Source organism: Homo sapiens, chromosome 9 (genome assembly GCF_000001405.40).
Source record: "Homo sapiens chromosome 9, GRCh38.p14 Primary Assembly".
NCBI lineage: Eukaryota > Metazoa > Chordata > Mammalia > Primates > Hominidae > Homo > Homo sapiens.
Window position 1 is genome coordinate 34,970,916 of NC_000009.12, and position 27,997 is coordinate 34,998,912.

At 52.4% G+C, this 27,997-nt stretch overlaps 2 protein-coding genes and 1 long non-coding RNA gene across 24 annotated transcripts in view, besides 8 other annotated features; 2 read left to right on the top strand and 1 right to left on the bottom strand.

Annotated features, from left to right (window-relative positions):
• The window catches only part of PHF24 (PHD finger protein 24), a 316,938-nt gene extending 305,309 nt beyond the window's left edge, over nt 1-11,629 (top strand). For 8 of the 16 annotated variants that reach the window (XM_047423102.1, XM_047423103.1, XM_017014554.2 and 5 more), the window contains 7 exons: nt 380-761; nt 1,431-1,616; nt 5,237-5,315; nt 5,620-5,825; nt 6,168-6,328; nt 6,628-6,726; nt 7,100-11,629. In XM_047423102.1, the coding sequence (XP_047279058.1) occupies nt 380-761; nt 1,431-1,616; nt 5,237-5,315; nt 5,620-5,825; nt 6,168-6,328; nt 6,628-6,726; nt 7,100-7,196 (1,210 nt within the window). In that variant the 3' untranslated portion in view covers nt 7,197-11,629. The remainder of the gene's footprint in view (nt 1-379; nt 762-1,430; nt 1,617-5,236; nt 5,316-5,619; nt 5,826-6,167; nt 6,329-6,627; nt 6,727-7,099) is intronic. The other 8 variants (NR_136307.2, NR_136308.2, NM_001304333.3 and 5 more) reach the window with 5 other exon arrangements.
• On the bottom strand, nt 14,495-18,464 carry DNAJB5-DT (DNAJB5 divergent transcript). Its single transcript, NR_109756.1, has 2 exons — nt 18,244-18,464; nt 14,495-15,022 (listed from the first exon to the last, which is right to left on the bottom strand). It is a non-coding gene; the product is annotated as a DNAJB5 divergent transcript (long non-coding RNA).
• Nucleotides 18,251-18,460: an enhancer, noted in NCBI's record as "active region_28316". NCBI's record gives its function as "activates an Ori minimal core promoter by ATAC-STARR-seq in GM12878 lymphoblastoid cells {active_cell/tissue: GM12878}" and the evidence as "EXISTENCE:reporter gene assay evidence [ECO:0000049][PMID:35858748]".
• Nucleotides 18,571-19,070: a silencer, noted in NCBI's record as "silent region_19858". NCBI's record gives its function as "represses an Ori minimal core promoter by ATAC-STARR-seq in GM12878 lymphoblastoid cells {active_cell/tissue: GM12878}" and the evidence as "EXISTENCE:reporter gene assay evidence [ECO:0000049][PMID:35858748]".
• Nucleotides 18,585-18,733: a silencer, noted in NCBI's record as "fragment chr9:34989497-34989645 (GRCh37/hg19 assembly coordinates)". NCBI's record gives its function as "represses an EF-1alpha promoter that drives an FKBP-Casp9 reporter gene in an ReSE screen in phorbol 12-myristate 13-acetate-treated (for megakaryocytic differentiation) K562 erythroleukemia cells {active_cell/tissue: K562(+PMA)}" and the evidence as "EXISTENCE:reporter gene assay evidence [ECO:0000049][PMID:32094911]".
• DNAJB5 (DnaJ heat shock protein family (Hsp40) member B5) lies at nt 18,830-27,985 on the top strand. 7 transcript variants are annotated; one of them, NM_001349724.2, is made up of 5 exons: nt 18,830-18,916; nt 19,584-19,696; nt 22,285-22,529; nt 25,350-25,951; nt 26,111-27,985. In NM_001349724.2, the coding sequence occupies exons 3-5, from the start codon at nt 22,319-22,321 to the stop codon at nt 26,342-26,344; spliced, it is 1,047 nt and encodes a 348-aa protein (NP_001336653.1). In that variant the 5' UTR covers nt 18,830-18,916; nt 19,584-19,696; nt 22,285-22,318; the 3' UTR covers nt 26,345-27,985. The 7 variants fall into 7 exon arrangements, with proteins under 7 accessions (NP_001336653.1, NP_001336652.1, NP_001128476.3 ...); NM_001349723.3 differs by having other exon boundaries at nt 19,584-19,897; nt 26,111-27,513; NM_001135004.3 differs by lacking the exon at nt 19,584-19,696 and adding an exon at nt 19,753-19,897 and having other exon boundaries at nt 26,111-27,513.
• Nucleotides 19,015-19,944: an enhancer, noted in NCBI's record as "H3K27ac-H3K4me1 hESC enhancer chr9:34989927-34990856 (GRCh37/hg19 assembly coordinates)". NCBI's record gives its function as "activates a minimal SCP1, AML or CMV promoter by ChIP-STARR-seq in naive H9 embryonic stem cells {active_cell/tissue: H9 hESC(naive)}" and the evidence as "EXISTENCE:reporter gene assay evidence [ECO:0000049][PMID:30033119]".
• Nucleotides 19,945-20,874: an enhancer, noted in NCBI's record as "H3K27ac-H3K4me1 hESC enhancer chr9:34990857-34991786 (GRCh37/hg19 assembly coordinates)". NCBI's record gives its function as "activates a minimal SCP1, AML or CMV promoter by ChIP-STARR-seq in naive H9 embryonic stem cells {active_cell/tissue: H9 hESC(naive)}" and the evidence as "EXISTENCE:reporter gene assay evidence [ECO:0000049][PMID:30033119]".
• Nucleotides 21,537-21,831: an enhancer, noted in NCBI's record as "tiled region #8519; HepG2 Activating DNase unmatched - State 9:DNaseU, and K562 Activating DNase unmatched - State 5:Enh". NCBI's record gives its function as "activates a minimal TATA promoter and a strong SV40 promoter by Sharpr-MPRA in HepG2 and K562 cells {active_cell/tissue: HepG2 | K562}" and the evidence as "EXISTENCE:reporter gene assay evidence [ECO:0000049][PMID:27701403]".
• Nucleotides 21,805-22,734: an enhancer, noted in NCBI's record as "H3K27ac-H3K4me1 hESC enhancer chr9:34992717-34993646 (GRCh37/hg19 assembly coordinates)". NCBI's record gives its function as "activates a minimal SCP1, AML or CMV promoter by ChIP-STARR-seq in naive and primed H9 embryonic stem cells {active_cell/tissue: H9 hESC(naive and primed)}" and the evidence as "EXISTENCE:reporter gene assay evidence [ECO:0000049][PMID:30033119]".
• Nucleotides 23,665-24,594: an enhancer, noted in NCBI's record as "H3K27ac-H3K4me1 hESC enhancer chr9:34994577-34995506 (GRCh37/hg19 assembly coordinates)". NCBI's record gives its function as "activates a minimal SCP1, AML or CMV promoter by ChIP-STARR-seq in naive H9 embryonic stem cells {active_cell/tissue: H9 hESC(naive)}" and the evidence as "EXISTENCE:reporter gene assay evidence [ECO:0000049][PMID:30033119]".

The following is a 27,997-nucleotide window of genomic DNA, read 5'->3' on the forward strand; positions in this document are numbered from 1 at the left end:
TTCCATAGATGGGAAAACCAAAGTTGCAAGGCCTGTCAGAAATCGAACCAAAGTCATCCAGGCAAGGTGGTAGGCCTGTGATCCCAGCTACTTAGGAGGCTGAACCAAGGGAATCACTAAAGCCCAGGAGTTCAAGAAGAGCCTGGGCAACATAGTAAGACCTCATCTCTAATAAATAAATTAAATAAATAAATAAATAAAATTTAGGAAAGAAGTAGAACCAACATCTTCTGATCCTTAACATGTGCTGTCTCCACCCCCACCATGTTCTAGAAGAGGGAGAAACTGTTTAATAGCCCTTGCCACTTAGGTTGAAACTGATTAGCCTGACATCCTCAGCCATTGGCTGAACCTGTGCCCCTCTGCTTTTTGTCCACAGAGCCATGGGGGTGTTGATGTCCAAGCGGCAGACAGTGGAGCAGGTGCAGAAGGTGAGTCTGGCTGTGTCTGCTTTCAAGGATGGGCTGCGGGACAGGCCTTCCATCCGACGCACAGGTGAGCTGCCAGGGTCCCGCCGTGGCACTGTAGAGGGCTCCGTCCAGGAGGTACAGGAGGAGAAGGAAGCAGAAGCAGGAACCTCGGTGGTCCAGGAAGAGAGTAGTGCCGGCCGCGCAGCCTGGGAGCGGCTCCGAGATGGGCGCGGCGTGGAGCCTGAGGAGTTTGACAGGACAAGTCGATTCACACCCCCTGCGTTCATCCGCCCCACCCGGAAGCTGGATGATGACAAACCTCCAGAAATCTGCCTGGAGCCCAGAGAGCCTGTGAGTATCCAGTTAGGACAGGATCCTCAAGTCTTAGTGCATCAGGGAGCAGGACAGGGAAGATGGATGTGGGTAAGGTGATCCTCAAAACCGGAAAAATGGAGCTGAGTCCAAAAAAATCTTTGAATTTCTTCTGTAAGAATAAAATGTTTGTTATATCCTGGATTCATCTTAGTGAAAGGCTTGGGGCAATGGATGATAAAGAATGATGCTGTGGCAGGTCTTCTGTCGAACCTCCCCCTCTTCCCCGCTGCCATGGGTTTTCAACCATGGATAGTACTACACCCTGCGGGAGGCAATTGGAAATTTGGGAGGGAGGAGTTTGGGGAGGTCACAACACCAGGTGGCTACTGGTGTTTGGTACCAAGAAAAGCAGGGATGATAAATGTCCTGCAATGCCTGGAACAATCTCTCACAACAGATTGTTCTTTCTAAAAGTGCTAGTAGCTCCCTGTTCATAAACATGGTCACAAAGACATGAGCAGCTGGAAGGACCTCCTGGTTCTTGTCGTCCAGAAAGAAAACCTCAACAATGGCTTCAGTTGGGGCTGTTCCTCTAGGCTAATCTGGGAAGACTCAGCCCCATGCAGGTAGCTCTGTGCTTAGTGGCCTTGGAATCTTGCTGCCTACATTTACACATCCCTGTTTCCTCCTGCCATCTTTCTGCAGGTTGTCAACGATGAGATGTGTGATGTTTGTGAGGTCTGGACAGCTGAGAGCCTCTTCCCGTGCAGGGTCTGCACCAGGGTTTTCCATGATGGCTGCCTGCGCCGCATGGGCTACATCCAAGGAGACAGTGCAGCGGAGGTGACGGAGATGGCCCACACAGAAACAGGCTGGAGCTGCCACTACTGTGTAAGTCTGGACTGCAGGGACAGCAGAGGACTTGGCACTTTTCCTGGAGGCCCGGTCTTAGAACACTTGATTTTAGGCAGTGACCTAAAGAATTTTCCAATGGGCTGGGCGCGGTGGCTCATGCCTGTAATCCCAGCACTTTGGGAGGCCAGTGCCGGAAGATCACGAGGTCAAGAGATTGAGACCATCCTGGCCAACATGGTGAAACCCCATCTCTACTAAAAATACAAAAATTAGCTGGGCGTGGTGGCACGCGCCTGTAGTCCCAGCTACTCGGGAGGCTGAGGTAGGAGAATCACTTAAACCCAGGAGGCGGAGGTTGCAGCGAGCCGAAATCGCGCCACTGCACTCCAGCCTGGCGACAGAGCGAGACTCTGTCTCGAAAAAAAAAAAAAAAAAAAGATTTTTCCAATGGTACATACAAGAGACCTAGAGCTAGGATGGGGTTTCTCAACCTCAGTACATTTTAGGCTGGCTAGTTACTTGTTTGAGGGGCCAAGTGCATTGTAGGATGTTTAGCGGCACCCTGGCCTTAATCCCCTAGATGCCGGTAGCATACATCTCAATGTGAAGGTAGCAAAATCACCCCCGGTAGAGAACCTCTGAGCTAGGAGATTGACTGGGGCCTAATTACTCAAAAGTAATTCTGCTTGGAGCAGTTCTTTCTCTAATAGTCTATAGTTGTCATTCATTGTATCCATATGAAAACTAACCTGAGATCCTAACCAGCTTGCTTCCAGTAGGGGTAGATTCTATCACAGGAAAACTTCCTAGGCCTGAGATCCTCACTCAGCCTGCCACCTGACTCATAAGCATTTGCTCTTCCTCTTTGAAGTGGTTATTATGTGAATTAAATGACAAAGCTCTATTGATTCAGAACTTCGCAAATTATATATAAATGCCTTCTAACTTTTAATGAAGGACAGAGTCTAAGGTTTCCATTGAAAGCCAGATTTATATCCATTTCTCACTACACCTGAATAGAGTTCAAGTCTTGCCTTATTGATCTGTTGTCCTGCAGATATCGTCATTGTTTATTGATTTCAGAGTGAGGAGCACCTGCTGATCCCCCCTTCTTCCTGCTGCTTAGACGAAAGCAGAGATGTGCCACTTTCTAACAAATAACTCTTCCTCTATGGCTTGTTATGGAACAGCTATTTTCAGCCACTGAAACACCTGTCCCCATGGAGTACACTGCAGCAGACCCTGCTGTACCGGCGACCTTCTCTAGTGCCTGTCACCCCTTCCAAATGCCATCCTTTCATCTCGGCCACTCTGCTTTGCGGTGTGCTGCTGCTATAGGACTGGGGTGAAGGGGTCACCTCCCTAACCCCCAGGAACACACTGCTCCCTCCCCAGCTTCCTGACACAGTCCTACCATCATTGCCACCATGCTCCACTGGGCTTTTTACAGAGCCTCCTTCCAAGTACCTCTCCTTTCTTTCCTTCCCTTCACAGCCAACAAATCTTCTTCTTCTTTTTTTTCTTTTTATGAGACAGGGTCTCACTGTGTCACCTGGCTGAAGTGCAGTGGTGCGATCGTAGCACTGCAGCCTTGAACTCCTAGACCTAAGCAATCCTCCTGCCTCAGCTTCCTCAGTAGCTGGGACTACAGGCACAAGCCATTGCACCTGGCCCCACAGCCAAACTTCTTAAAAGAATTTCACCATCTCCTATGGTTTTTCAACCACCTATCATATAATCTGACATCTGCATCCATCATTCTGCAGAACTGTTGCTTCCTAAGGTCACCAGTCACCTCCTAATTGTCAAGTCCACTGACCTTTTCTGAGGCATCTTCTTACTTGATCTCTCTGAAGTATTTATTACTTCTTTATTCCTCTCTCTTTTCTTTAGGATTTAAGTATTTTTATGAGAATTATTGCATAAGATATGGAAATGAGAGAAAATAGAAAGTCAATAAAATCCCACCTCAGTGGTGTAACCACCGTTAACATTACCTCCCACATTCTGCAGCTGTCTTTGCTTGGTATCCAGTACCTTCTTCTCTACTGATGCTCTTCCAGCCTTAGTCTCTGACCATTCTTTCTCAATGCCCTTTGTTAGTTTCTTGTCTCAGTCCTGTTTCTCAGGGTTCTGTTGTTTAATACTCTTCTTTTCTCACTGCGCCCTCTTTGGTGACTTCATCTACAGCCACCATCTAAACACTAATGACTCCTATTTCTGTGTGTCCAGACCTAAATTTCCTGTCTCTTGCACTTATCCACCTTGATATCTCACAAGTACTTCACACTCATCATGCCCCAAAATGAACTCATCTTTGCCCCCAAACCTGCTCTTCCTCCACTCCTTATCTCTGTGAATAGTAATACCATGCCCCAGTTACCAATTCCAGTTCAATCTCTCCCTCATGCCTCACATCCAGTGAGTCATCAGGTCCTGATGATGCTGCCTCTAATATCTCTCTTCCCTTCTTCATTCTCATGTCTCAGTTTAGCTGCTCATCATTTCTTGCCTGGACTGTTGCGGCAGCCCCCAACTGCTCTCCACACCTCCAGACTCTGCCGCTCTAATCCATCTTCCACACAGCAGCCAGAGATCTGACCACGGCACTCCCCACTTGAAAACCCTTTGGTGGCTCCCTTTTGCCCTCAGAATAAAGGCCTAATTTGAGGGGCTCGATAAAGGGTATTGGAGGTACTTCATAGTAGGCCCCCTCCTTCCCTCACACACACACTCACATGTACTCCAAACCTCAGCCACACTGAACATCTCACAGTGTTACACACCACTGTGGCGCCCAGTGTTTACTAGGTGCTCAGTAGGTGTTTATTGAAAGTATGGTTTGAAAGAAAAATACAACTATTATATATTAGTTTTTAAAAAGTGTTATGGAAGAAAAAGAATGGTTTGAGTTCTTTATGAAATCCACGTATGAATACTCATGAAATATCTGCTCTTGTACTTTGCGGGTATCTCAGAGGAAGAAAATGACCTTGTACTAGAAAGGATCTTTGATAGTTTAAAGACTGTATGGTAACGTCAACACAATAAGATATTGGTGCTCCTTTGGAATTAAAACTTCTGTGGCACTACAAAAAAACTCATTTGGCTTTAGGAGCCTTGTAATAATGGCATCTTTTAAAACCATTCTGGGGTTATTTAAAGTGATACAACCCACTTGGAGCAGAGCTAGGATTAAACTTTTTTTTTTTTTAACTAAAATACATTTTTAGCACAGCCTAACACAGAAGCCAAGTAGATAAAAGGGATGGAGATGGAGCCGCTCTGCTTGATGGAGATAGGGATTCACAACCTGCCTACTCACTAGCCCCCTTATTCCCTGCAGCAGCTTCCTAAGGCACTTCCAAGAAATCCCTAGGTTAGCTCAGAGGAGAAAACCACTGTTTTAGTAAAGGGACTCAGTGCTGGAGTCAGGATATCTGGGTTCTTGGGGAAGATTCTGCCCCAGAGTAAAGACAACTCTGGCCAAGTCCTTTCTCCTCTCTGGGGCCTCAATCTCATTGATTGTGAATAGGAGGCTGGGATTAGATGATCTTGGAACTGCTTTCCAGTTGAAATTCTATTTCTAGCCCCCTTGACCCTGGCCTTTCTTACTGGCCTGTATGGCCACCGACTCAGCTCTTCCTTATTTTCAGGACAACATCAACTTGCTGCTTACTGAGGAGGAAATGTATAGCCTCACGGAGACCTTTCAGCGGTGTAAAGTCATCCCTGGTAAGGTTGGGTGGTGCTGCATGGATGGAGAGGGGCCGGGCAGATTTCTCCTTCAGGCTTTCTAGAATGAACCATGAAAGGAGTGTTCCATATTTAGTGGGTAGAGGGTAAATGAGTCCTTGTTCCTGAGTTGTTGGCCAGCAGAGTCACCTATCCCTGTCACAGCCTGGGTGACCCTGGCCATGGGAGGCAGAGACTTAGCAAGAGCTGTGGGTTTGGGGGCCCCGAGGGTGCCCTGGAGGTGATGGAGGTGCCCTGAGGCTGAGGAAGGATGGGCATGGCTAGCACGGGGTGCCTCCCACAGATTGCTCCCTGACACTGGAGGACTTTCTGCGTTACCGCCACCAAGCAGCCAAGCGGGGGGACCGTGACAGGGCCCTGAGTGAGGAGCAAGAAGAGCAGGCGGCCCGCCAGTTTGCTGCCCTGGACCCTGAACATCGAGGCCACATAGAGTGGCCTGACTTCTTGTCCCATGAGTCCCTCCTGCTTCTGCAGCAGTTGCGTCCCCAGGTGAGGGCCAGTTGGGGCAAATGTTCCTGGGATACTGGGTGACAAGGGCCTGGGAGGCACGCTGGGCAGATTGGGGGAGCACTGGGTCCTGCTCAAGCAGGGACAAGTATCAGGAATGGGCTCAGGTTCCATCCAGTGACAGATGATCTGGTGCCCAGGCTGAGGAAACTGCGTGAGGAAGACTGATCTGCCCTGGGCCGCACTGGAAGTGCTGATGCCTCCAGAAGGGCTCTGGGCAGCTTCTAAGGGAGGTTGCAAAGGTGGTAATGGAGATAGGATTCTCTATGGCTTGGCAGTTTACAAGATATCTTCACCTCTAAGATCTTGTCTCTTCTTCCCCAGAACTCTCTGTTGAGGCTTCTGACAGTGAAGGAGCGGGAGCGAGCCCGAGCCGCCTTCCTGGCTCGGGGCAGTGGGAGCACCGTCAGTGAGGCAGAGTGCCGCCGGGCCCAGCACTCTTGGTTTTGCAAACGGTTCCCAGAGGCTCCTTCCTGCAGTGTCAGGTCTGCTCCTTACCAGTCCTGGTCCCCACTCAGCCTCTCCTCCTCCCTTTTCCATGCCAGTGGCCCTTCCATACCTCCCTGCTCCCCCTGCCAACAGCCGAGAGAGGAGCCTCCTGTGCATTAGGTAGAGGATGGTGATGCCTACGGGCCAGGGCATAGGACAGCCTCTGCCTTCAACTCGGTGTTGCCACATGTCAGAAGAGCCTGGATGAGCATGTCCAGAGCCTTGGGCTTACCAGAGTTTGGGAGGGGGCAGGCATTTCACTATCCCACTCCTAACCACGTGTCCTCATGCCCAGCAGCATCAGCCATGTGGGTCCCATCGCAGATAGCAGCCCAGCCAGCAGCAGCAGCAAGAGTCAGGACAAGACCCTGCTGCCCACAGAGCAGGAGTCCAGGTGAGTAGGACCTCCTCACCTGGCCATTTGTACCCTCTGAACCCCCACAAAACACACAAGTAAGAGAGGGCATTACCCACTCCCACTCCAAAACAGCAAGCGCCCACCCAAGAAACCAGGCTCCAAGAGTGCACATTTGACCCAAGTCTATAGGACCAGCCAGCTGGTCTGTTGGCCTGGTAGCACAGCCAGCCATAGCCAGGTCAGGCATGAGCCAAGCTTCCCTGAGTTTTGTGTAGCTCAAGCCATGCTGCCCCTGGGATCAGGGCTCACGCGTCTTCAAACCAGCCTCCTCAAGCCATGCTGCCCCTGGGATCAGGGCTCACGTGTCTTCAAACCAGCCTCACGACTCTGTTCTTTGCTTCCACTCCAGATTTGTGGACTGGCCTACCTTCCTGCAAGAGAATGTCCTCTACATCCTGGCTGCTCGCCCCAACAGCGCAGCCATTCACCTGAAGCCCCCAGGATAGCATGGAGCAGAGAAGCTCGGTTTGAGGACAGTGACATCCTCTCCCTCCTTTCCTTTCTCCCTTCCCCCACCAACCTCTGGCACAGAGACTCATGGGGTTGGGACACTGCCAGCGTCTTAACTTGTCACTAAGCTTTAAGGCACTGAAATCACCATTCCCCTCACAATAGAGGCAGTGAATGCATTGCCACAAGGAGAAGCCCTGGGAGCTGTGGCAGCATCCTCTCCTGGACCGCCCCTGCCCCACATCATAGACGGGACCTGCCACCACACTTATATACATGTGCACATGCTGCCCAGCTGTCCATGCCTTCAGAAGCCTGGTTCTTTTTGGTTGAGAAAGGACCAAAGTCCCTTTGTGAAGCCCCTGGTATAGAGGAGGGGGTCTCTACTCACCCCTTCTATAGGCAGGCCAGTTCTAATTTCCAATAGATAAGTCTCTGGCCAAGTGATTCTTAGGAAGGGGGCATGTCAGACTCGCATGCCTGCCTAGAGCTCCTGGAGATCCTAATGGGCCCCGCTTTCTCCACCAAAAATCCCTTCTGCAGTCAGCTGCTGTTACTAGTAGGTGTGCATTATGTACCTCGGCTGTACTGAGTTGGGAAAAGAGTTAAACATCACCACTGAAATTCAGCCCTTTATTTATTTAAATTCCAATTCCTGGTGACAGAAAAGGCAACTAGCCTGGAGAATCCTGACTGGAAGAGGGGGAGGCAGCCCTTCCCAGGGACTCGGGATTCTAGGAACCTCTCAGTCAGGTCACCTGAGTCCAAAAGTCTTTAGCAGGGTAGTCAAAAATCAAGGTGAGCCTTCTTGGCCCCATTTTTCAGATGGTAGCTCATGGCCTAGGGCCAAGGGGGCCTGAATGGAGCAAACACACTGGCAGGAGCCACAGCCCTCTGTGTTAGATGCTTCACCCAAGTCACCGACCACAGAGACTGACGAGAGCACACTCTGGAGGAAGAGGAGAGAACGGGGCTCTGCTTCCTCATCATTCCAGCTCAACTCAACTGTAGACACCTTCCACAGCCCAAGAAAGATCTGCAGAGCCCTGAGCAGGGACTCTTTCAGCCATCCTGACAAACAGGATAAGAGGCTGGGGCTTAAGAAGAGGCTCTGCAGAGAAGGTCCTGGGAAAGCCTTACAGAAGAAGTTTTCCGCTTCTCCCTATCACTGAGACTCGGCTTGAGTGGCTGCTTCTCCTCACTGCTCATCACATGTCCTTCCCCAGCAGGCTAGGGCTTGGGCCTGGCATGGAAGGCCTTTTGGGGCAATCAGAGGCTGCCACAAGAGCACCAAGCCTGGCCTCCAAGCCCCAGCCCTCCTTCCTAAGTACTCATCAAATTCAAATTCTTCAGTCCGTGTGTTATGGCTCATCTTGGCCGGCCGTGGGGTCCATGTTCTAGGCTTCTGTTTCCAACTTAATGACTTAGGCATAGCGAGATCTGACTACCAAGAGTTATTCAAAAGGGAGTGGAGTGCAGTCATGCAGAAGCAAACACGTCTTCATTGCTCGAGGCCCTTGTGCTAAATCGGGTGCGTACAGAAGAACACACACCGCTCGGTGCTGAATGTTTCGAGGAAAGCAAGGAGCTGCGGCCAGGGGCTTCTTGAGAGCCCTGTGTAGTCTCCTCCTGTAGGAACCACCTTAGCTGGAAGCAGGGTGGTGAGCTGCTGGGGTTGGATTATTTGGGACTGAAATGAAGCAGACAGGAGACAAATCTGGGCTCAGGTGTATGGCCCACAGCTTTTAGAAATGCTCTTCAGCCGTCCCCCAGGATTGATCCATAGGAGGGGCCATTATTCAGTCTAGTCAAAACAAGAAAGCGCAGGACTCCTGGGCCTAAGAACTGCATCTGAAGCAGCCAGGCCTGGGGTTTTGCACTGAGATGAAAGCACATTAAGCACAGGGGCTCTTACCTACTCTCCTGGCAAATCATCTCCTGTGCCACTGGCCTTGGGCTGCTCGATCTCACAGACGGGGCATTTTGAGTAGAGACAAGCTCTGGGCTTTGAGAGCTGAATAGCATTTTTCTCCTGCCTCATCAGTCACAGGGACTGGAAGTCCATCTTGTTCCCTGATCCTTCACAGATCAAGGTGATGCCTACCTCTTTGGAGCTGCTGCCTCTAGCTCTCCACGGGTGAGTGAGGAGAGTTGGTGGGCCAGGTCAGGCCTGCCGTATTCCAGGGCCTGGCAAAGCAGCCCCAGAGTTCTTCCACAACAGGAACAGGCCCATTTGGATCACGCTTCTCCCTATTCCAGAACAGCAAACTTCCTGGGTGAGGGCCTGCTACAGAGATCCCAGGGGACACTTCCCTCAGCAAAGAGTAGAGTTCCCATCCCACAAGAGTCCTAGGAAGCAGGAAAGCACGAAGGAGCAGCCAGCCTCTTCTCCACAGGCAGTCATCTAGCTTTTTACCAAAGGGGAAGTGCCGTTGCTCCCCAAGTCCAGAGTTGCAGACGCCCTGCCCCAACCCCCGTCCAGAATCTCCCTTTGCAGTGTTCTAATCCCCAGAGCCCCTCTGCGGTATGTATAGAGTTGTTAAAAACGTTCAGAAACCCAGTGAAGCCCATTTCGTTTTCAAGCCCTCCCATCACTGTGACTCTGAAATTCTGCCAAGTACAAATATTAGCGTTTGGCTCTAATAAGGGTATGAGAAAATGTTTCAGTCTTTTCTTTGTGGCTACCCAAAATTGAGATCAGTGTTTCTAACCAAGGAAGGCCTGGGTTATAGACAGGCTCCTCTGAAGCCCACTTGCCCTAAGCATTTTTCACCTAGCATTCCTCTTCCTCATGTTCAGATGTGAATGAAGGGGCAGCTGGAGGATGTGGTGGAGCTGCAGGGACCGAGGGTCAGCTGAGCAGTGGCCCTGGCCACAAAACCACTCCAAGTCTGCTCCTTGGCTTCCTCTCCTGAGCCCAGCCTTCCCCAACAGAACACTTGAGCAAGGGCCCCTAGAGTATCCCAGGGATGGAGCAGTCCCCTCACTCTAGGTACTGATCTAACCTTCAAGTGCTCCTCTTCATTTGAGGACACCTACAGTAGAAACCATGAGGACATTGCCTCTTTCTGCCCTCAGCCCAAGTACCTGGGGCTAGCAGGGCAGATACCAGCCTTTCTGGTCCTGCTGCTCCCTATGGGATGTCACCCTGACCTTGCTTAAGTGGCCAAGTCTTAGGGTCCCCTTATTCCTGTCACCATTATGAAAAACACAGCATTAAACTGCCTGGGAAGAGGACACCTCCTTGGGGGAGTGAGCCCCAAGGTTATACCCAGGACTCATAGCCCAAAGCACAACCTCGGCCATTGCAGGTTTCACAGCTTCAGTCAGAGTGGTGCCAGGAAGCCCAAAAGCCAAGAGGGAAGGTCAGCAGAAGCTGCCTGGCAAGGCCCCAGGCCAGCCAGGCCCACCCCAGAGCCAAGAGAAACTTCAAGCAGGACTGAGAACTGGTAGCTGGCTCTAGTGATCCTGAAAGCATGTTCCCTTCAGACCAGCAGAGTGAAGACAGACAGATGTGTGGCCCTAAAAGGCAGAACAGTTTTGATGCCAGAACTTCAGGACTGTCACCACAGTCCCTTTTTACCCCTCCTCTATTTACAGTGAAATAAAATTCCTATTTTCTTTTTTTTTTTTTTTTAATTTTCCTTATTTCAAGCTCTTATCTGAAAAAATGCTACTTTCTCCTACCACTTAGTTTGAATTTGCCCAGGATATCTGTCTGGGCCCCTGGCTGCAACCCAGACAATGGCGAGATCTCCTGGAGTGGGGGATATTCACGCATCGTGCCTGTTCCTGACAGCTCAGCCCTGGTGTAGGGTGGGACTGGGCATTTTCTCTGCTGTTACTTTTCTGCTACCACTATTTTTGGCAACCTTGGAAAGAAAATAAACAGGTTACAGAATTTCGGCTAGCACTAAGGGAAAGCTTTTTCCTCTGGGCCACATGCCCCAGTGACCCAGAGCATGGAAAGGGGGTCAGCTCTGGTCTGGGCCAGTGACTAAGAAGCCCAATCACATTCCAGTTTCTATAGCACTGGGTAGGCACAACCCACAGTTAAGAACATCAAGTTATAAGTAGCCAGGCCTTTTCATAGCCATGGTGACACAAAGGCCCTCAAGATTAGCCTCCTGCCATCATGGGTTGGCCTGTGATCTGTCCCCCAGCCAAACCCAAGTTTGTGAGAGGGACTCTGAGAACACTTGAGCAACACTTGGGAATCCAATGCGCTCTGGTCCCTCATGCCCTTCCCATGTGCTTTTCTGCAGAAGGTAACTTGACAGCAAGCTGAGGGGAACGTCCCCAAGCCCTGTCTCCCTGTCTCTACAGCTGCATGCTCCTCTGCGTGGCCCAGCCTTCACAGCGCTCCAGAAGAAGCTGATGCCCTGAGGCTGGGCACAGTGGAAATCATAATAAAGCGATTGCGATGCTCTGTCGGCTTCCTGTTTCTTGTTGTTTGGGGAACCTGCCATTTCTGTGTGGTTTCCCATTGTTGATCAATTCCTGGGTCTGAGCATAAGACCGGGGCAGCTGCAGCTGCCAGGAAGGACACAACATGCTGTGACTCTTTCTAGAGTTCTCCTGGCCCTGACCTTCCCAAAAATCAAGAGATGGGTAGAGGTAGGGGCACCACACATACAGATACAGAGATACTGATATTTCTGTATCCAGCACAGATACAGAGCAGAAACAGGAGCACTGAAGTGGAGAGCCAGAGCTTTCAAAGAAATTGAGGATGAGGTCATAAGGTCTCCAAGGCTGTCTGCTCTGTGTTGTCCCTCTCCTGTGCCATGCCCCAGGGCCAGTTTTAGACACTTCCCAGTTCCTCCTGAGCTAAAAGTAAGGAAACTCATTGGCTGTTTTCTCCTGGTCTGAGTGTTTCCTCCCCATTTTGACAAATTGCTTTAATGTAATATGATAGGGTTGGGAAAGCTAAGATTGGAGATGCCATTTGGGGGACTATGGGATCCCCATTCCTCCCTTTTATCTGGTGAGAACAGAGTCAGTACCTGTAGGTGAGACAGCATCTCTAGGCTGTGGATCAAAGGCCGATACTCTACCTCCAAAACCAGAGAGGGTCCCAAGTACAAGTCGTCTTTAACATTTTTTGAGCACTTACTATGCACTTGGCAGTGCTTTGCATAGAGTCACTAATCTTCACAATAATCCTATGAGATTTTTATTACAGGTGAGAAAAATGAGGAACAGAGAGTCCATGTTTCTCAAGGTTACACAACCACACAGGAAGTAGGGGAACCAGGCAGTTTGCCTTCAGAGGACATGTTCTTAGCCACTTTGTTGTGCTTCCTGTCAAAGCACATCTCAAAGGAACCACTGCTGTGTGAGCCAGCACCTCCCCTCCCCACCCTGGGAATAGACACAGACAGGTAACCAGGCCTGTATCCATGGCACGGATTTCTTACCACTGCACAATTCACTCCATCCGCTCACCAGGCTCCCACACCTCTCCTCCCTGAATTCTTCCCATGGGGTCCACCAGACTGAGAGCAGATTAATGACATCCCACCAGCCCTTTGTCCTTGTCTCCAGGCTCAGTGAAGCTAAGCATTGGGACAGAAAAAGGGCATAAAAAGGCTGGGTGTCTGTGGGCCCGAATGAATAAGGTTTCCCTGCCCTCAGTTCAGCAGTCCTGGCTGGAACTTTAGACCCTCTGAGGACTGTTCCTCCCACCAACTGCCACTTGTTCCCAGGACTGGCCGGGGTCTTGGTTCTACACAAACCTCCACCCACCTTGTCCTGCTCTGGTTCAAATTCATTTCCTCTTTATCCCTGGGGAGAGTCATTCCTTAAGAGAATCAATGGCTGCTAAATTTGCTAAACATGGAGTAGTGCTCTCTCCCACCCCACCCTTTCTAAGGGTTGCTTGGAGGTTGACTTTGTTGAACCTCAGTTTCCTCGACTGTAAAATCTGTAGGACAGTCCCTGTCCTGTAAGCCTCCTGGGCTGGTTAATTGAGGAAAGAGTTTTGTATAAGAGGAGAGAGCTTTACAGATTGTAAGGCACTGAGTAAGTAGCAAGGATTTCTGCTCCATCTGAAGGCTGTGAGTGTATCATCTCCACACTCACACAGTCCCAGGCATAGCTGGGTCGGGGTGGGGTGGGTACTGTGATTGCCTCTGTCCAAAGTGCTGAAGTCATAGCCAAGCCAGCTGAGGACCTTCAGTCCCTCCTTGTCCCACCTTTGAGTAACCATCAAGTACAGAGATTTCCAAGCCCAAAGATTGTCCTAAAATTGAGAATGTATTGCCAACAAATTTATTTTATTTCAAGTATCTTTGTTTAAAATGAATACAGCTCTCCATTCAAAATTATAACACGTACACATGAACAAGAGGTGATTTAGCAGCTCAGGGAGAAAAGAGCTTATGGCCTTAACTCGGTATGGGTGAACAGTATGAGGTGGCTACCAAAAAATAAACTGATGGGCCAGGTGCGATGGCTCACGCCTGTAATCCCAGCACTTAGGGAGGCCGAAGCAGGTGGATCTCCTGAGGTCAGGAGTTCAAGACCAGCCTGGCCAACATGGCGAAACCCTGTCTCTACTAAAAATGCAAAAATTAGCCAGGTGTGGTGGTGCACACCTGTAGTTCCAGCTACTCAGGAGGCTGAGGCAGAAGAATTGCTTGAACCCAGGAGGCAAAGGTTGCAGTGAGCCGAGATCACACCATTGCACTCCAGCCTAGGCAACAGGGCGAGACTCCATCTCAAAAGAAAAACAAAACAACAACCACAGAAAAAACTGATGTAATCTGAGCCTATGTGGAAAGAAGTTCAGAGTCAGAGGAGGGAGGCAGGCCGGCTCATTCGTACCCTGCACCAGCTCTCCTGGAAAAAGCTAATCATAACTGGGCACCACAAACTGAAACCCATTCAGGGAAACATGATCTTAGTGAGTAGAATTGAGAAAGGCAGGGGATGAGTCCATGAAGGCATGGGTCCTGGAGAGAAGCAGATTTGAAGGATGCAGATGGTGATGTTTGGCAGATGGACCAATGAGGTCAGTGTGGTCCCAAGGACAGGGCTAAGATGAAATGTGAACACTGTGGAGAGGCAGATTTCTGCTCAATAGGACCAAACATAACTGGTTACCAGGAAGGCAGTGGAGCTGTATTAAGCATGTGACAGAAATGCTGATTTGGGGGTGGGGTGACTTCAGTCCTCTTGAGACCTGAGATGCCAGTAAACAGTTAAGCACATTCTGTGCATACCCAGTGCTGAGCCCAGGTGAGCCAGAAGGAGAAGATTCATGACTGTAAGAACCCACATAACCCCAAAGTTTTGGTGTCAAAAACGAGAACTTTAATTTTTTTAGCTCACAGGTGGGCTCTTGGACGCTTGCCTCTAGAACCTGATGTTGCACGCCCTCTGCTGGTCATCCCTAACATTGCTCTCTCATCCCAAGGCAAGAAATCACCCCTCTGAACCCTTCTGGTGCTGGTCAGCATAGGTTCAGAACACGCAGGGAGACGCCAGCGAATATCAGGGAGTCAGATCCCTGGTAGTGTTCAGTTAGTTCAGTATAGGATCAGAACTGAATCTGAAGATGAATTCAAGTATTTTGTATCAAAATTAGGGCTCAGCCATGTCTAGGAGGAGGGTTTGGGCAGAGGCTGGATTCGGGGAACTGTCTCTACCAGGACAATAACCAGGTTGTGTCTCAGGCTGAGGTCAAAGTTGGGACTCAGTGTGGGACCAAAGTCTGGGCCTGAGTGTCAGCATGAAGCATGTATCAGGTGAGATGCTCAGAGTCTGATCACAGGAGGGAGGCCATCTGCAGCCAAGGTGATGGGTCAACGTGGCATTCCTACACCCAGGAGAAAGCATCAGGTAATGAGTACCCAGGCACTGGAGAACTCAAGAACAAACATGGAGACTGCCCAGGGGAGAGATATGAGGGACAGGGGACAGCAGGAGATAGTCACTCATTTCTTTTTTTTCTTTTCTTTTCTTTTCTTTTTTTTTTTTTTTTGACAGGGAGTCTCGTCTCACTCTGTCACCCAGGCTGGAGTGCAGTGGCGCGATCTCGGCTCACTGCAACCTCTGCCTTCTGGGTTCAAGCGATTCTTTTGCCTCAGCCTCCTGAGTAGCTGAGATTACAGGCATGTGCCACAACACCTGGCTAATTTTTTTTGTATTTTAGTAGAGATGGCAGGTAGTCACTAATTCGTAAGGCCCTCCCAACTTTAAGGATGGTGATGGGTAGGCCAAGTAGCCCCCTGTTCCTCAGTATTCTAGTATCCCAGTATTCTAGTTCTGGTTTCCTGTTAAAGCCCCCGCTCCTGCTCCCACACACACACTAGTACTACCACATACAACTCATAGGTACAACTGGGGGAGAGAAGTGGCCCAAGGGCCAGTTCTGTCACTGCAGGGAGGTGGCAGCTGTGAGGGTAGTCTTCCTTCCCCCCAGGATTCTCTGTTTCTACTGGCAACAGGGCCTGGCAGCCTCCCACACCCAGATCTTAGCAACCATGGGAACCCCTGGCAACCATTACCATGGTGACAAGACAGGGAACTGAAAACAGGCTGGGGGCACTTCCTCTGCAGCCTTCGGGATGTGAGCAGGATAGGGGCTCCCTTCCCTATACAGTCTGGGAGGGAACATGTGCCTCTGTCTAAAACACCTCCTCACTGGCACCCACCCCCACCCCTGCCCACGGGTTCCGGTTCCCTCAGGGTGAGGAAATGAGGGACACCTAGGGTTATGACGTCTCCAAGGGGAGGGAGGGTGAGTGGGGGCGTTTGGGACTGGCATGATCGCAGATGCGTGCATACGCTGGCAGACATGGTGTCAATGTGTCAGTGCCTATATACCTTATCCACTCTTTGTCATGTAGACACATGCCCGCACAGTCATTTACTCACACATGTACACTGACCCAAAATCATATACCTACAACATATAACAGAATCAGGCACACCACCACACAAAAATAACTGCACAGATCCACTCACAAATCACATTACCAGTACCACACTACAAATAACTCCCAGACTCACAGATTTATAGATGCACTCGCACTCCCAGCATCTGTGAACATGTAGAGTAATGGTTAACTTGGTTGAGTTAACCAAGTTAACCATTGGTTGGGTATAAACTACATGCCCAGCTCAGAACTAAGTGCACTACCTGTGTTACCTTAATTAACCCTCTCAACAACCCCCTGAGGCACCAATCCCCATTTACAAAGGAGATGAGGCATGAGTGTGGCGTGTAAGCTCACAAGGTGCATAGACTCCAGACCACACTGTCACAGTCCATGCCACACTGAGCACTACACACACGTGACACCCAGGACAATGGGACTGAGGGCGGGAACCGAGGACTAGGCAAACAGTGGAGTCTGTGCCACCAACACCTGAAGGCACAGTTCTGCACCCTCAAAGGTCCGAGCCTACACTTTAGCATTAGCAGGGGCCAGGTAAAGGCTGGTGACTAAACTCTCTGCCTCCGTGTTGGCACAGGCAAGGCTGGGGGAGGCAAAAGAGACAGAACTGGAATAGGAAGAAGTAGAGCCACCCACAGCCTGGGCCCCACAGGTGTGGAGGTGGAAGAGTGAGAGCCCCCAGATCTGAGGAGCCAGCAGCGGTGCAGGGCCCCTCACCCCACCTTACCCATCTCTGTGTCACACAGAGATGTCCATCCCTCCTCCCTCCCCTCCCCCTTCCTCACTCCTCCTCACCCCATCTCTGTGCCTCATCCTTTCATTACTCACCCCTTCTTTCCTCATCCCTCACCCTGCCTTCCTGCCCCTCCCCAGCCCTTCTTTCCTTATCCCCCACCCTGCCTTCCCTCCCCTCCCCAGCCCTCCTTTCCTCTGCCCTCCTTACTCCCACCCTATGGCTCATCTGCCCCATGCCCCTCCCCTCCTCATCCCCCTCACCCCATCTCACCATCCTCTCACCACCCCCTCTCCCTACCTCCCCCCCTCAACCCCATTTCCTCAAATTCCTCATGCTCATTTCCCCACATTCATCACCCATCTCTGCTCCCCTCCTGGCCCCCAACCCCACTTCCTTTCCATCCTCCTTTCACCCCAAGTCTCTTTCTTCCTTCACACCTCATGCCCCTTTACCCTTGGGAGCCCCATAGTGACTCCTGGCATGAAGGTAGGTAGTGAAGAATCTACAGACATGACTCCAGGACCCTGGCACCCCCCCCCCGCCTTGCTCTGCTCTTGGCCCAGGTACTCAAGCTGCAGTTTCTAGCAAGACCTCATGGGTGTCCAAACTCTGTCTCTGGAAAATAGGAAAGAAAGAAGTAAAGGGGAGCTTCCGGCCTGACCCTTCTATCATCATCAACCCCCCAGCACTCCCCTCCCCCACTTCACCCCCAAATTACTCCCTCCCCACCCCCGCTCCCTCGAGCACAGATGGGCCTGGGAGACAGTGACGTGGGCGCCAGGCACCGTGTCTGCTGGAGTGGCGGCTTCCGCTGGCGACCGCCTCCGCAGCCCCGCCTGCTCCCTGCATCGGGGACACTGGGGCTGAGATCTAATGACTTAATGGGGGGTGGGGGAGACTAGAGATTCTGAGGGTGTTAAGGAAGGGGATCTTGGGGAGTGAGATGAAAGATGAAAGGGGAGAGCTAGGATAGGAGATCGGGGTGTAAAGAAAGAACCAAGAATAAGACAAAAGGGATCACTGCGGGAAGGAAGACAGGAGATCATCTAGGGCCAAGAAGGAAAGGGCTAAAACACAGGCACTCCAGGGGGAAGCAGGATGAGAGACTGATTAGAAGAGGGACTGAAATGGAGACCGCGGGGTCGCTGAAGAGGGGCGCGAGGATGAGGGGCTGTACAGAGGGTGGGCGGGGGAGATTCCTGGAGGCACCGGCCTGGGCAGAGCCATCCGTTTCCCTCGGGGGAGAGGTCCGGGGGGCTCTGAAACCCGGCATCCGTGGGGTCTGTTAGAGATTCCGTTAGGTCACATCAGGCCACCGCGGGGTCAGGATAAGGTAAAGCTAAATGAGGTCAGCTTGAGGTGGTTACACCGTTGGCTGAAAGGCGAGTAAGAAGTGCTGACCTTTTGGCCCCGGTCCAGGGACTACACCTCCCAGAGTGCACTGTTCTCTCCCTCTTGCCCCCCAATGAAGAAAGGAAAGAATGCACGGCCGCACGGCCAACTGGTGGGTACAGTTTTCCTTTAAGGCTGCCTTTGACGTCGCAAGGGTTCCAGAAGGTTCTCCTGGGATTCGAGCAGTGGCCAGTACGTCCCACCTTCTCAACCCGGAGATTGGACTAATATAGTTTGCCCCCGGGCTCGGGTCTGAGTCTCAGGCACGAACCAATAAAATCAAAGGGCGAGCGAGGTTGCCGCCCTCTGTCTTTTTCACCAATGGCACGACAAGATGGCAAAGAGGCGTGGTTGAGTGATCCCAGAGGGCGCCAATCAGATCCACACCAATCACTGCCTGGAATGTGTGCGCGTGTGGCCGGGTGACAGGGGCGGAGGATGGGCGGCTATCACCAAGCCGCTTGTTGAAAACTGCCCAATCACAGTGGAGGCTGAGCTGAGTGACAGGAAGACGGTTCAATGGGCGGCGCGGAGGCGGAGCCGTGGGGGCGGGCTCCCGGTCCCGCTATCGGCGGCCGGCGGGCAGGCGACTCCTGTCCCGGGTGGAGGCGGCGGAGCCGGAGCCGGGGGAGGGGGCAGCGGCTGTCTCACGGACCACGGCGGCGCCCGCAGCTCCTCACCGGTGAGGGCGCCAAGCCAGGACTCGGGGGTCCCGGGAGCGGGGCGTCGTGAAGCCAGGGCTCCTGGTGTTGGGGGGTTGGGACACTGAGGGCCCGTAGGCTCTGCTGCCTTGGGGATGCGGGGCCCCGGGGTCTGCAGGGTGCTCGGAGTCCTAGACCAGGGCTTGGCTGTCACAGGGGGCAGCCAGCGTCTGAGTCGGGGAGGGGAGGGGAGGGGAGGGTCGAGTCGGACCGGACCAGATTGGGTTCTGTGGGGCGGAGGCATCTGTGAGCAGACCAGCCAGCCAGCGCGGGTGACATCACCGACCACCCTCCCCCGCCCGAGCCCCCTCCCCTCCTCTCCTCGCCGCGCCTTTTGTCCCGGCCGAGCTCCGCTCTGCCCCGCCCATCTGCGAGGGAGGAGACTCCCGTCAGTGACTTCATTGAGTAGGTTCTTGGGGATTGGGGTCGGGTCCTCCCCAGTGAGAGGCGACAGGAGCTCACTGCCTCTCGGGCCCTCACAATCACACCTGTCACAGGTATACACGCTGCCACTCACAAACACACGCTTGCACTCCCAGCCTCACTGACACGCTGCCATACAGCCGCTCACAGCCAGCCAGACACTGCTGCACCTGAGAGCAGGTGGCCGCGGGTCTTCTCCCTTCACTCTCCACATTTGGGGATCAGGTCCGGCACCTGCTGCGCCAGACAGGCCTTGCTGGGCACGCGCCTCTGAGAGTCCAAGGAGGTGGCTTCCAGAGCTGCAGCACTTCAGGCCGGCTCCGGTGGAGCGATCAGAGGTGAGGGGCTTGGCTGGGCATGTTTAAGCGCACAGTGCTCTCCTGCCCACCCCCAGCAGCACCCCCACTGCAGGCCCGAGGAGCTTTCCGGAGCTTCCCACACTCCTGGGGAGAAGACTTCTTAGCCAGCTTGATGTTTAAAATTCAGCTGGAGCCCTTAAAACTTCGAGCGTGGACGCTGAATGGGTTTGTAAAGTTTCGGTAAGTCCCTCCGGAGAAGGGCACTCACACCCATACCCAGTCAAACCCTCCACGCGGCCATCCCCTCCATTGCCTTCCTGCTTCCTCCAACTCATCCTCATCCCCTCTGTGACATACAGGAACCCCCCTCCGGCCTCACCCACATATTTGAATGAATTGCACCCCTTATCATTCCTTTTCTCAAACCCTTCAGGTATCCATTTTCCACAGACATTTCCTCCATTATTTCAACTCTCCACATTCCTCCCTTTCAACCCATCATTAACCCATTTTCCACCTCAGCCATTTCCATCTGTCACTCATCCCCCTCCATCAGTACCTCATTTTCTGTATCAGCCATCTCCCCTCCCTGTACCTCAACAGTCCCCCTCGCCATTTTCTCCCCATTTTTCCTTCCTGCCTCTACCTTAACATCCTCCTCATTCTTCTCCATCAAAGGCAGTGCCATGCCATGGGGCTCCTTTGTCATTCCAACACGTGGCCTGTGGGTAGGGGGGAAGGGAAGGAGGGAGGAAAGCAGAAAGAGAAAAAGGAGGCAGATCCTGAAAGAGCTTGCCCTGTGTCTGCGGAGGCAAGAGATGTATGGGCCTAGAGCAGCTAGCAGGTGGGTACCAGGGAGGAAGCTGGCCGGGTGTGGAGGTAATGCAGGGACACCAAAAGGAGGTGGGTGGTTGGTGAGCCGTTCCACTGGCCCTCTGCCTGGAAGCTGCTCTCGTTCTCTAGGGGCACCCTCTTGGTGTGCTAGGGTTCTTTCCCAGTCCCAGGGGAAAGAAGGTGTGGGTTGAGGCAGAAATGGCAGACCACCCCCCCCCGCTCCCTCTCAGACGGCTTTTGCTGCCATTTCCGAAAACGGTTGCCCCCCCCCCCAACGAGGTGCTCTTTCTTCTCTGCCTCTCCCAACCCCACCCCCCACCCCATCTCCCCCACAGACGTGACATGCTGGTGGGGGGCAATGGGGGAGTACCCGCCTTTGTGGAGCCTTTTCTTCGTCAGAGAAAGGTGACTCCCAGAACCATGAGTCAACCCAGCCACCTGCAGCAGGGCCTGTGGGGGCAGCAGTGAGGGCCATTGTCCCTGCCCACCTAGGGCCTTGGGCGCCTCCCCCTTACCCGGTTACAGGCCTCACTCCTGGAAGGACACCCTGTACACCTCCCTGCTGTGAAGCAGTCAGAGGCAGAAAGGCAGGTCTCAGCTGTGGCTGCCAGCCTAGGACATTGCTAGAAAGACTCTGGTTCTCCTGGCTTTGGCAGGGGTTGGCCAAGTCTCAGAAGGGCTGAGAATGGCTTCTGGCCATCCCCCAGAGAGCTCTAGCTACAGGAAAGTCCCCCTTCCCCTGATATCCACCACAGACACACCGATAGAGGGAGACTGGAATGGAAGAATTCGGGTTGTACGTTTCTCTTATAACAAATGCTCCTGCACCCACCTTAAAAGGGACTCAGAGGAATATGGGTCTGATGATGGGCCGGATCCTAAACCACAGGGTGGACTGGGGGCGTAGGGTGAGGCTAGGAGAGGTATTAAGGAAATGGTGGTTGGTTAGTGCCCAATTGTCTCCTAACAGCTGGGGTTGAAAAAGTCCTGTCCCCAGGATGCTTTTGTTCACTCACACTGGTGCTTAGGCGGCACAGCCCTCACAGTTTTGTGTGTAGACGCTGGCAAATGAGTAAAGGGAACTGTTGCCCTGGTTGGGGGAAGGATAGTGTCGCCCCCCCTGCTAATGAGGGAGTTGGAAACAGCAGTTTCCAAAGGCTGTGAGTCACCCTGTGATCTGAGTCACACGTGAGGCTTAGCATCGTCAGAGGGGTGGGGGCGGGGAGGCCTGGGGTCTCCGATGGCAGACAGGACTCCAGACACCCATTCCCTGACTCAGTCTGGCTGGCCAGGACAGCTGGCGGAAGACCCAGGCCTGTTCCCGGTCCTGGGCCACTGCCCCAGCTGCCCTCAGCCTGGGCACCATGCCTGAGGCGTGGCGTAGGAGACCACGATGCTCAGGTGACCTCACCCGTTACACTGACCTTCGCCAGCTCCTGTGTGTGGGTCGCTCAGTCCATGGTGCCACCTCGCTCAGCAGGGCCTCTCAGGGGTCCTCAGTCTGGCCCAAGGACCAGGGCCTCAGCCTAGCCCCAAGAGTGGGCCACAACCTTCAGCTTCCTGCTGGGAAAACCCAGGAGGTGAGGACGGAATCACAGAATTCTAGAATGTCAGAGCCAGAAGAGATCATCTAGTCCAAACCTTTCATTTTACAGATGGGGGGACGCAGGCCCACAGAACAGGCATGACCTGCTGAAGGTTACCCAGGGAGTCATTTAGGGATTGCAAGATCATCAGGAACAGGGCTGGGGCAGAAGAGAAGGCATCAAGTCTTGGCCCTGGGTTTCTTTCAGAAACAAGGAGACCAGTGCTGGTCCAGTGGCTGTGATGGGAAAAGATTATTACAAGATTCTTGGGATCCCATCGGGGGCCAACGAGGATGAGATCAAGAAAGCCTACCGGAAGATGGCCTTGAAGTACCACCCAGACAAGAATAAAGAACCCAACGCTGAGGAGAAGTTTAAGGAGATTGCAGAGGCCTATGATGTGCTAAGTGACCCCAAGAAACGGGGCCTGTATGACCAGTATGGGGAGGAAGGTAAGAGGGCAGCACTCCAGCCCAATCCCGGACCCCTCCGCTTGGTAGGGGTCCCAGGTGCACCAGTTTGTGTAGCGGGGAACTGGAGGCTGTGGAGGGGGTGAGGGCAGCAAGGGTTTCCAGCACTGTCACCCAGAGAAGAGAGAAGCCCACCCACTACCCAGCTCAGCTCACCCTAGTTCTCCCCGCCTCTCTCTGCCCCCTCCCTCCTCGGGTTCAGGCCTTAGAGAGGTCTGAAGCAAGAGCCAGAGGCCTTCCCCGCCCTTCTTTCCTTCCCAGCCTTATTAGTCCTGCCTGAAGTCTCCGCTGCTTCATTGGCTGATGAGGAAGGTTGGGGAGAGGGAGTGTGTGGCTCTCTGAGGACAGAGCATTTACATTCATCAGCATAAAAGTCTGGCCCTTAAGCAGCCTGGGAATTAACTACCAGAGCTCTGAGCAGAAATGGTTTTCCCCTTCTCTCCCCCGGCCCTGCCTGCTTCTGGCCAGCAGAACAGAGGTGGAGCTTTGCCTCCCAGAGGAAGTGGCAGGGATCCAAGGGTGGACGGGGAACTGCTGCTGGCATCTTCCCCCTTCCCTGGGGTAGCTGGTGGCCATGGGGTGGGAGGCAGGAAAGGCCCAAATAAAGCCTCTGAGAGGGAGGCCCCTCCCAGCACATCCCACGGCCATGATGTAGCTGCTAATTCTGGGCCTGCCCCTCAGGGCTGCCTGCCACCCGCCAGCCACAGGCACCTGTCAGGCTATATTAAGAGACATTGTCACGCTGAGGACTCTCCTTCCTGGGAAGAACTGTCCTTCCTCCCCAACAGAATCCACCTTTCTTTCACATTCTCCTCCTCTTCACCCTCCCCTTTCTATCCTCAAAACTAAATGGGCTAATCATATGTAGATAAGAAGGTTATTTTCTTCCCCTCCTCCTGGCCTTGTGTTCCATGCCCCTCTGTGAACCCTCATCCTCCCAACTCCCTTTTCCTATTCTCCATGCTGCCGGTTCCTTCCATTCTTCCTGCCTACCTCCTAGACGTGCCAACTCCCAGATTCACCAGATACCGGCTGGAACCCCCAGTATTCTTTCAGCTAAGACATTTTTCTCTCTGGCATGGAGGGATGGGAGGGATAGGAGTGGAAAAGAGGGAAGCAGTGCAGACACCATGCCACCATGTGACCTGTCTTGGAATTGCACCCATTCCTCCATTCAGCCTCACCTTTGTTTAGAAAGAAGGCAGGAGCTGGGAGAGCTCCCTTGAGATACTTCACCCCTTCTGCCTAAGTGAAGGGGTCCAGACACCAGGTTCTGATGCAGAACCCCATCCCAGGAAGGCCCCTGAGGATGCGGCATGGCCTTAAGGGGACCTCCATGGCCTGGGGAGGGAGAAGCAGCTTAGAAATGTTGGTTATATTTCTGTCCACCCTGCCCAATCCCCAGCAGCCATTTATTATAGAGCAGTTATACACACAGACTCTGTGTGCAGCTCCAGCTAGGGACAAGTTGCTCCCAGCTTGAAAAGGGGGTGGTAGTGGAAGAATAGAAATCCCTATAGAGAGAATTACCCCTTCCCATCATCATCAGTCCAGCCTCCCTCCCTCTCTCACTGAGCTCTGCCAGGCTGCTTGAACTCGCTTGATAATCAGCCCCTCGATAGAAGGAAAGGAGAGATCCTAGGTCTTGGGGGAGGGGTGAAGAGGCAGCTGCCACAAGTCCCTGAACCGTCTGCCACTTGGCCTCTCTAGTGAAACTCAAATCTGCCCTTGTGGTCCCAGGAAATAAGAGGCTAATTTAGGCTCAGATCTCCATGATCAGTTGAAATTCTAGATAAATGGCCTCAAAGAGAAGGGTCTCTTTCCTAGCCTGGACCCCACCCATAGTCTCTGTATTCCGGAGCAGTTCTCAGTGTGAACCGTCTCCCCACATCCCCCACTACTGCCAGCACCCCCTCCTGTGCATGAAGGCTGCCTCCAGGAATCTGAGCCCCTTAGACAGGACCTGACAGAGAGAGCAGCTAAGGTCACCACTGCCATGTGCCAGCCCATTCATGCATTTTGGTTGCTCAACATTAGGTGTGGGGTATGGCGTTTGCTGTTGTATAACTCCAGGGAGCTCCATTCCCATTGTAGTCTATGTCTGTACAATGTGTGAATGACACTCCCTAAAGTTGTGTAACACCGAGCAGAGTGTGGGAACAAAGCATTTAAAAACTTTTTCTAGAAAAATAGCTCTTCATCTCCAAGCTAATGAGCTTTCCCACTTTTTAAGGCTTCCTGATTTCCCGTTTGAGCAGGGGCCAGGGAAAGAGGAAACACTGCTAGAAGCAGAGTGAAAGTGGTCTTCCTCCCGGGTTGGATCCCTAGCCTATTTGCGACTGTTCACTTACCAGCCCCCTCTGTGGTCACATCCTGTCTGATGGCCCCTTGTCCTATATGTCTTTGGAGATAAGCAAAGATTTGGGAACCAAGTATCACTTGTAATGTGACACCAGGCTAGTCATTCAAGGCTTTTTGAGACATCTTTGGACCATGAGTATGTGGAAAAGATTACAGGACTGGAAGTCACATCCTCTAAGTCCTCTAGTCCTGGCTTTTCCACCTATTGGGTAAGCAAGCCTCTTTGAATCTCAAGTTGTGCATCGTTATTAAATATATAATTAGGAATGGAAGATAATCTTGCCAGAAGCCTTTCTTACTCTATTAGCCTGGCCCTCTCTGTGGGATTTAAAGGTTGCTTCTTTCTTTAAGCCTGTGAACTGGGAGCTAGAGGGCAGGGGGAAGACACTGGGATTGGGGCCAGAATAAGCCACACTGCCCCTAACTTCTCCTCCCCTCTAGGCCTGAAGACCGGCGGTGGCACATCAGGTGGCTCCAGTGGCTCCTTTCACTACACCTTTCATGGGGACCCCCATGCCACCTTTGCCTCCTTCTTTGGTGGCTCCAACCCCTTCGATATCTTCTTTGCCAGCAGCCGCTCCACTCGGCCCTTCAGTGGCTTTGACCCAGATGACATGGATGTGGATGAAGATGAGGACCCATTTGGCGCTTTCGGCCGTTTTGGCTTCAATGGGCTGAGTAGGGGTCCAAGGCGAGCCCCAGAACCACTGTACCCTCGGCGCAAGGTGCAGGACCCCCCAGTGGTGCACGAGCTGCGGGTGTCCCTGGAGGAGATCTACCATGGCTCCACCAAGCGCATGAAGATCACAAGGCGTCGCCTCAACCCTGATGGGCGAACTGTGCGCACCGAGGACAAGATCCTGCACATAGTCATCAAGCGTGGCTGGAAGGAAGGCACCAAGATCACCTTCCCCAAAGAAGGCGACGCCACACCTGACAACATCCCTGCTGACATCGTCTTTGTGCTCAAAGACAAGCCCCATGCACACTTCCGCCGAGATGGCACCAACGTGCTCTACAGTGCCCTGATCAGCCTCAAGGAGGTGGGGCCTAGTCAGGCTGTGTGTGTGTGCTGGGGAGATGGTGGGGACATTCCCTCTCTTCCCGCCAGCTGGCACATTCTTTCCCCACCTCAGTCTATTTCCTTCCTTCCCACTCACCTTACCCCACCTTTTCCTCACTTTCTGCTTCGTCTTTCCCAGGCGCTGTGTGGCTGCACTGTGAACATTCCCACTATCGACGGCCGAGTGATCCCTTTGCCCTGCAATGATGTCATCAAGCCAGGCACCGTGAAGAGACTCCGTGGGGAGGGCCTTCCCTTCCCCAAAGTGCCAACTCAGCGAGGAGACCTCATTGTTGAGTTCAAAGTTCGCTTCCCAGACAGATTAACACCACAGACAAGACAGATCCTTAAGCAGCACCTACCCTGTTCCTAGGCTCTGCCCCAGCCAGTCCAGAGCCTACCACAGCAATACCCCCAACACTCACTCCACTCAATGTGCACCCAGCTTGATGTCCACTGGACACTGGCAACTTTTTCTAAAATGCAAAAAAAAGCCACTGGTTTTCAGGAAAATGTTCCTGTCCCTGACCCCTTTTAGAGCTGGGCTGCCTGGGGGGAGTGGGAGGGAGGTGGGGAGAGCTAGCCCAGGCCAGGGGTCAATGTTCATGTCACTAGCTTTCAATCCAGTTTCCACTGCAGTGGCTGGAGAGTGACCTGAGTGCTACTTGAAGATATGTAGAGATTCCTTATCCATGCCTGTACATAGCATGTCCTCCTCCCCTCAGCTTTGCTAATACCAGTCCCCTCCCTTCCCTTTGGCTTCCTGCTGTTGGGGGTGGAAAAGACTAGAAAGGACATTGCTTTCTCAGCCCCACCCCCAGGTCCACAGTGTCCAAGGTAATGGCACACATATTCATGCACAAGAAGCACTCACCTAGAGCTGTCTGTGCCTCTCTGGGAGAAAGGAGAGAGGATAAGAAGGGAAAGTTCACAACCTGTGAACAGGGACTTGAGCACGAGACACTTTTCATCTGGAGCAGGGGGGTGAGCTCCTCAGCAGCCTCCGTAACAGCTGCCCTGCCTACACCTGCAGAGCTGGAGGTTCTGTCCTCCCTGCTGCTCTCAGGAGTGTTCAAGGGTGGAGGGCAGGGAATGGGGCCTGAGGTATTAAGGCTAAGAGGTGGGGGACAGGGCCCATCTACCAGCCTTCATCAGGAAGGGAAAGGGCTTTGGGGTCAGGTGGCAGCTATTCCCCACCAAGAGATTCAGGGTCACAGGTTTTTCCCCACACCTCTGAACTCAGGGCCTAGCCACCCCCAAACTTCCAAATCCCACTTTTGTGATATGTGAAGCTACTCATTTCTTACCCTTGGAGGCTGTGTGGGGAATTTCCAGCCCTTTTATGCCTGTGTGATCCCACCCCACCCCCATAGTTGTATAAAGGTCATAGTGAAGAAGCTGGGGGAAGACTGCTTCAGCCAGATCCTGGGGTGGGGTCTTTAGGTTTTCTCACTTTGACAACCCCCGAATGTTTTTATAGTAGTTTTTTTGTATTTTTTTGTAATGACAGTATTATGTAAAAAATAAAGTATTTTAAAAATATGGCATCTGAGCAGGAGCAACAAACCTGGGATGGGGGTGGCTGAGGAGGGCCACTGTCATCCTCCCTCCCGGGCTCTGGTCACCTTTGAGAAGCCCAAGCAGGCCCTCAGTATAAGCTGAAGCTGACCTCTGCCTTCCTCGAAGCCTCCTGGGATTTCTAAAACTTATACTTCAAACACAGCACAGACAGAAAGTACCACTCAGCTATTAGAAGAAACATCTATTTGGGAAGGAAAAATATCCCTGCTCATGAGAGACAGAGACCATTGTCTTCAGATGTGCTAGCATGAAAACAGATTTTCTCTTCTTGTCTAAATTTTCTCTGAGTCAGACAAATTTTCCTTCTAGGAGAAAATTTTTTTCTAGGAGGGGGTGGAGAACTTTTTTTTTTTTTTTTTTTTTTTGACACGGAGTCTTGCTCTGTCGCCCAGGCTGGAGTGCAGTGATGCGATCTTGGTTCACTGCAGCCTCTGTCTCCTAGGTT

Bases quoted from the DNA above. Each gene is read 5' to 3' on its own strand.
- DNAJB5 (NM_001349723.3), top strand. From the start codon at position 19,716: ATGTTTAAGCGCACAGTGCTCTCCTGCCCACCCCCAGCAGCACCCCCA. The intron at 22,530-25,349 runs GTAAGAGGGCAG...CCTCCCCTCTAG, and splicing joins TGACCAGTATGGGGAGGAAG to GCCTGAAGACCGGCGGTGGC. The intron at 25,952-26,110 runs GTGGGGCCTAGT...CGTCTTTCCCAG, and splicing joins CCCTGATCAGCCTCAAGGAG to GCGCTGTGTGGCTGCACTGT.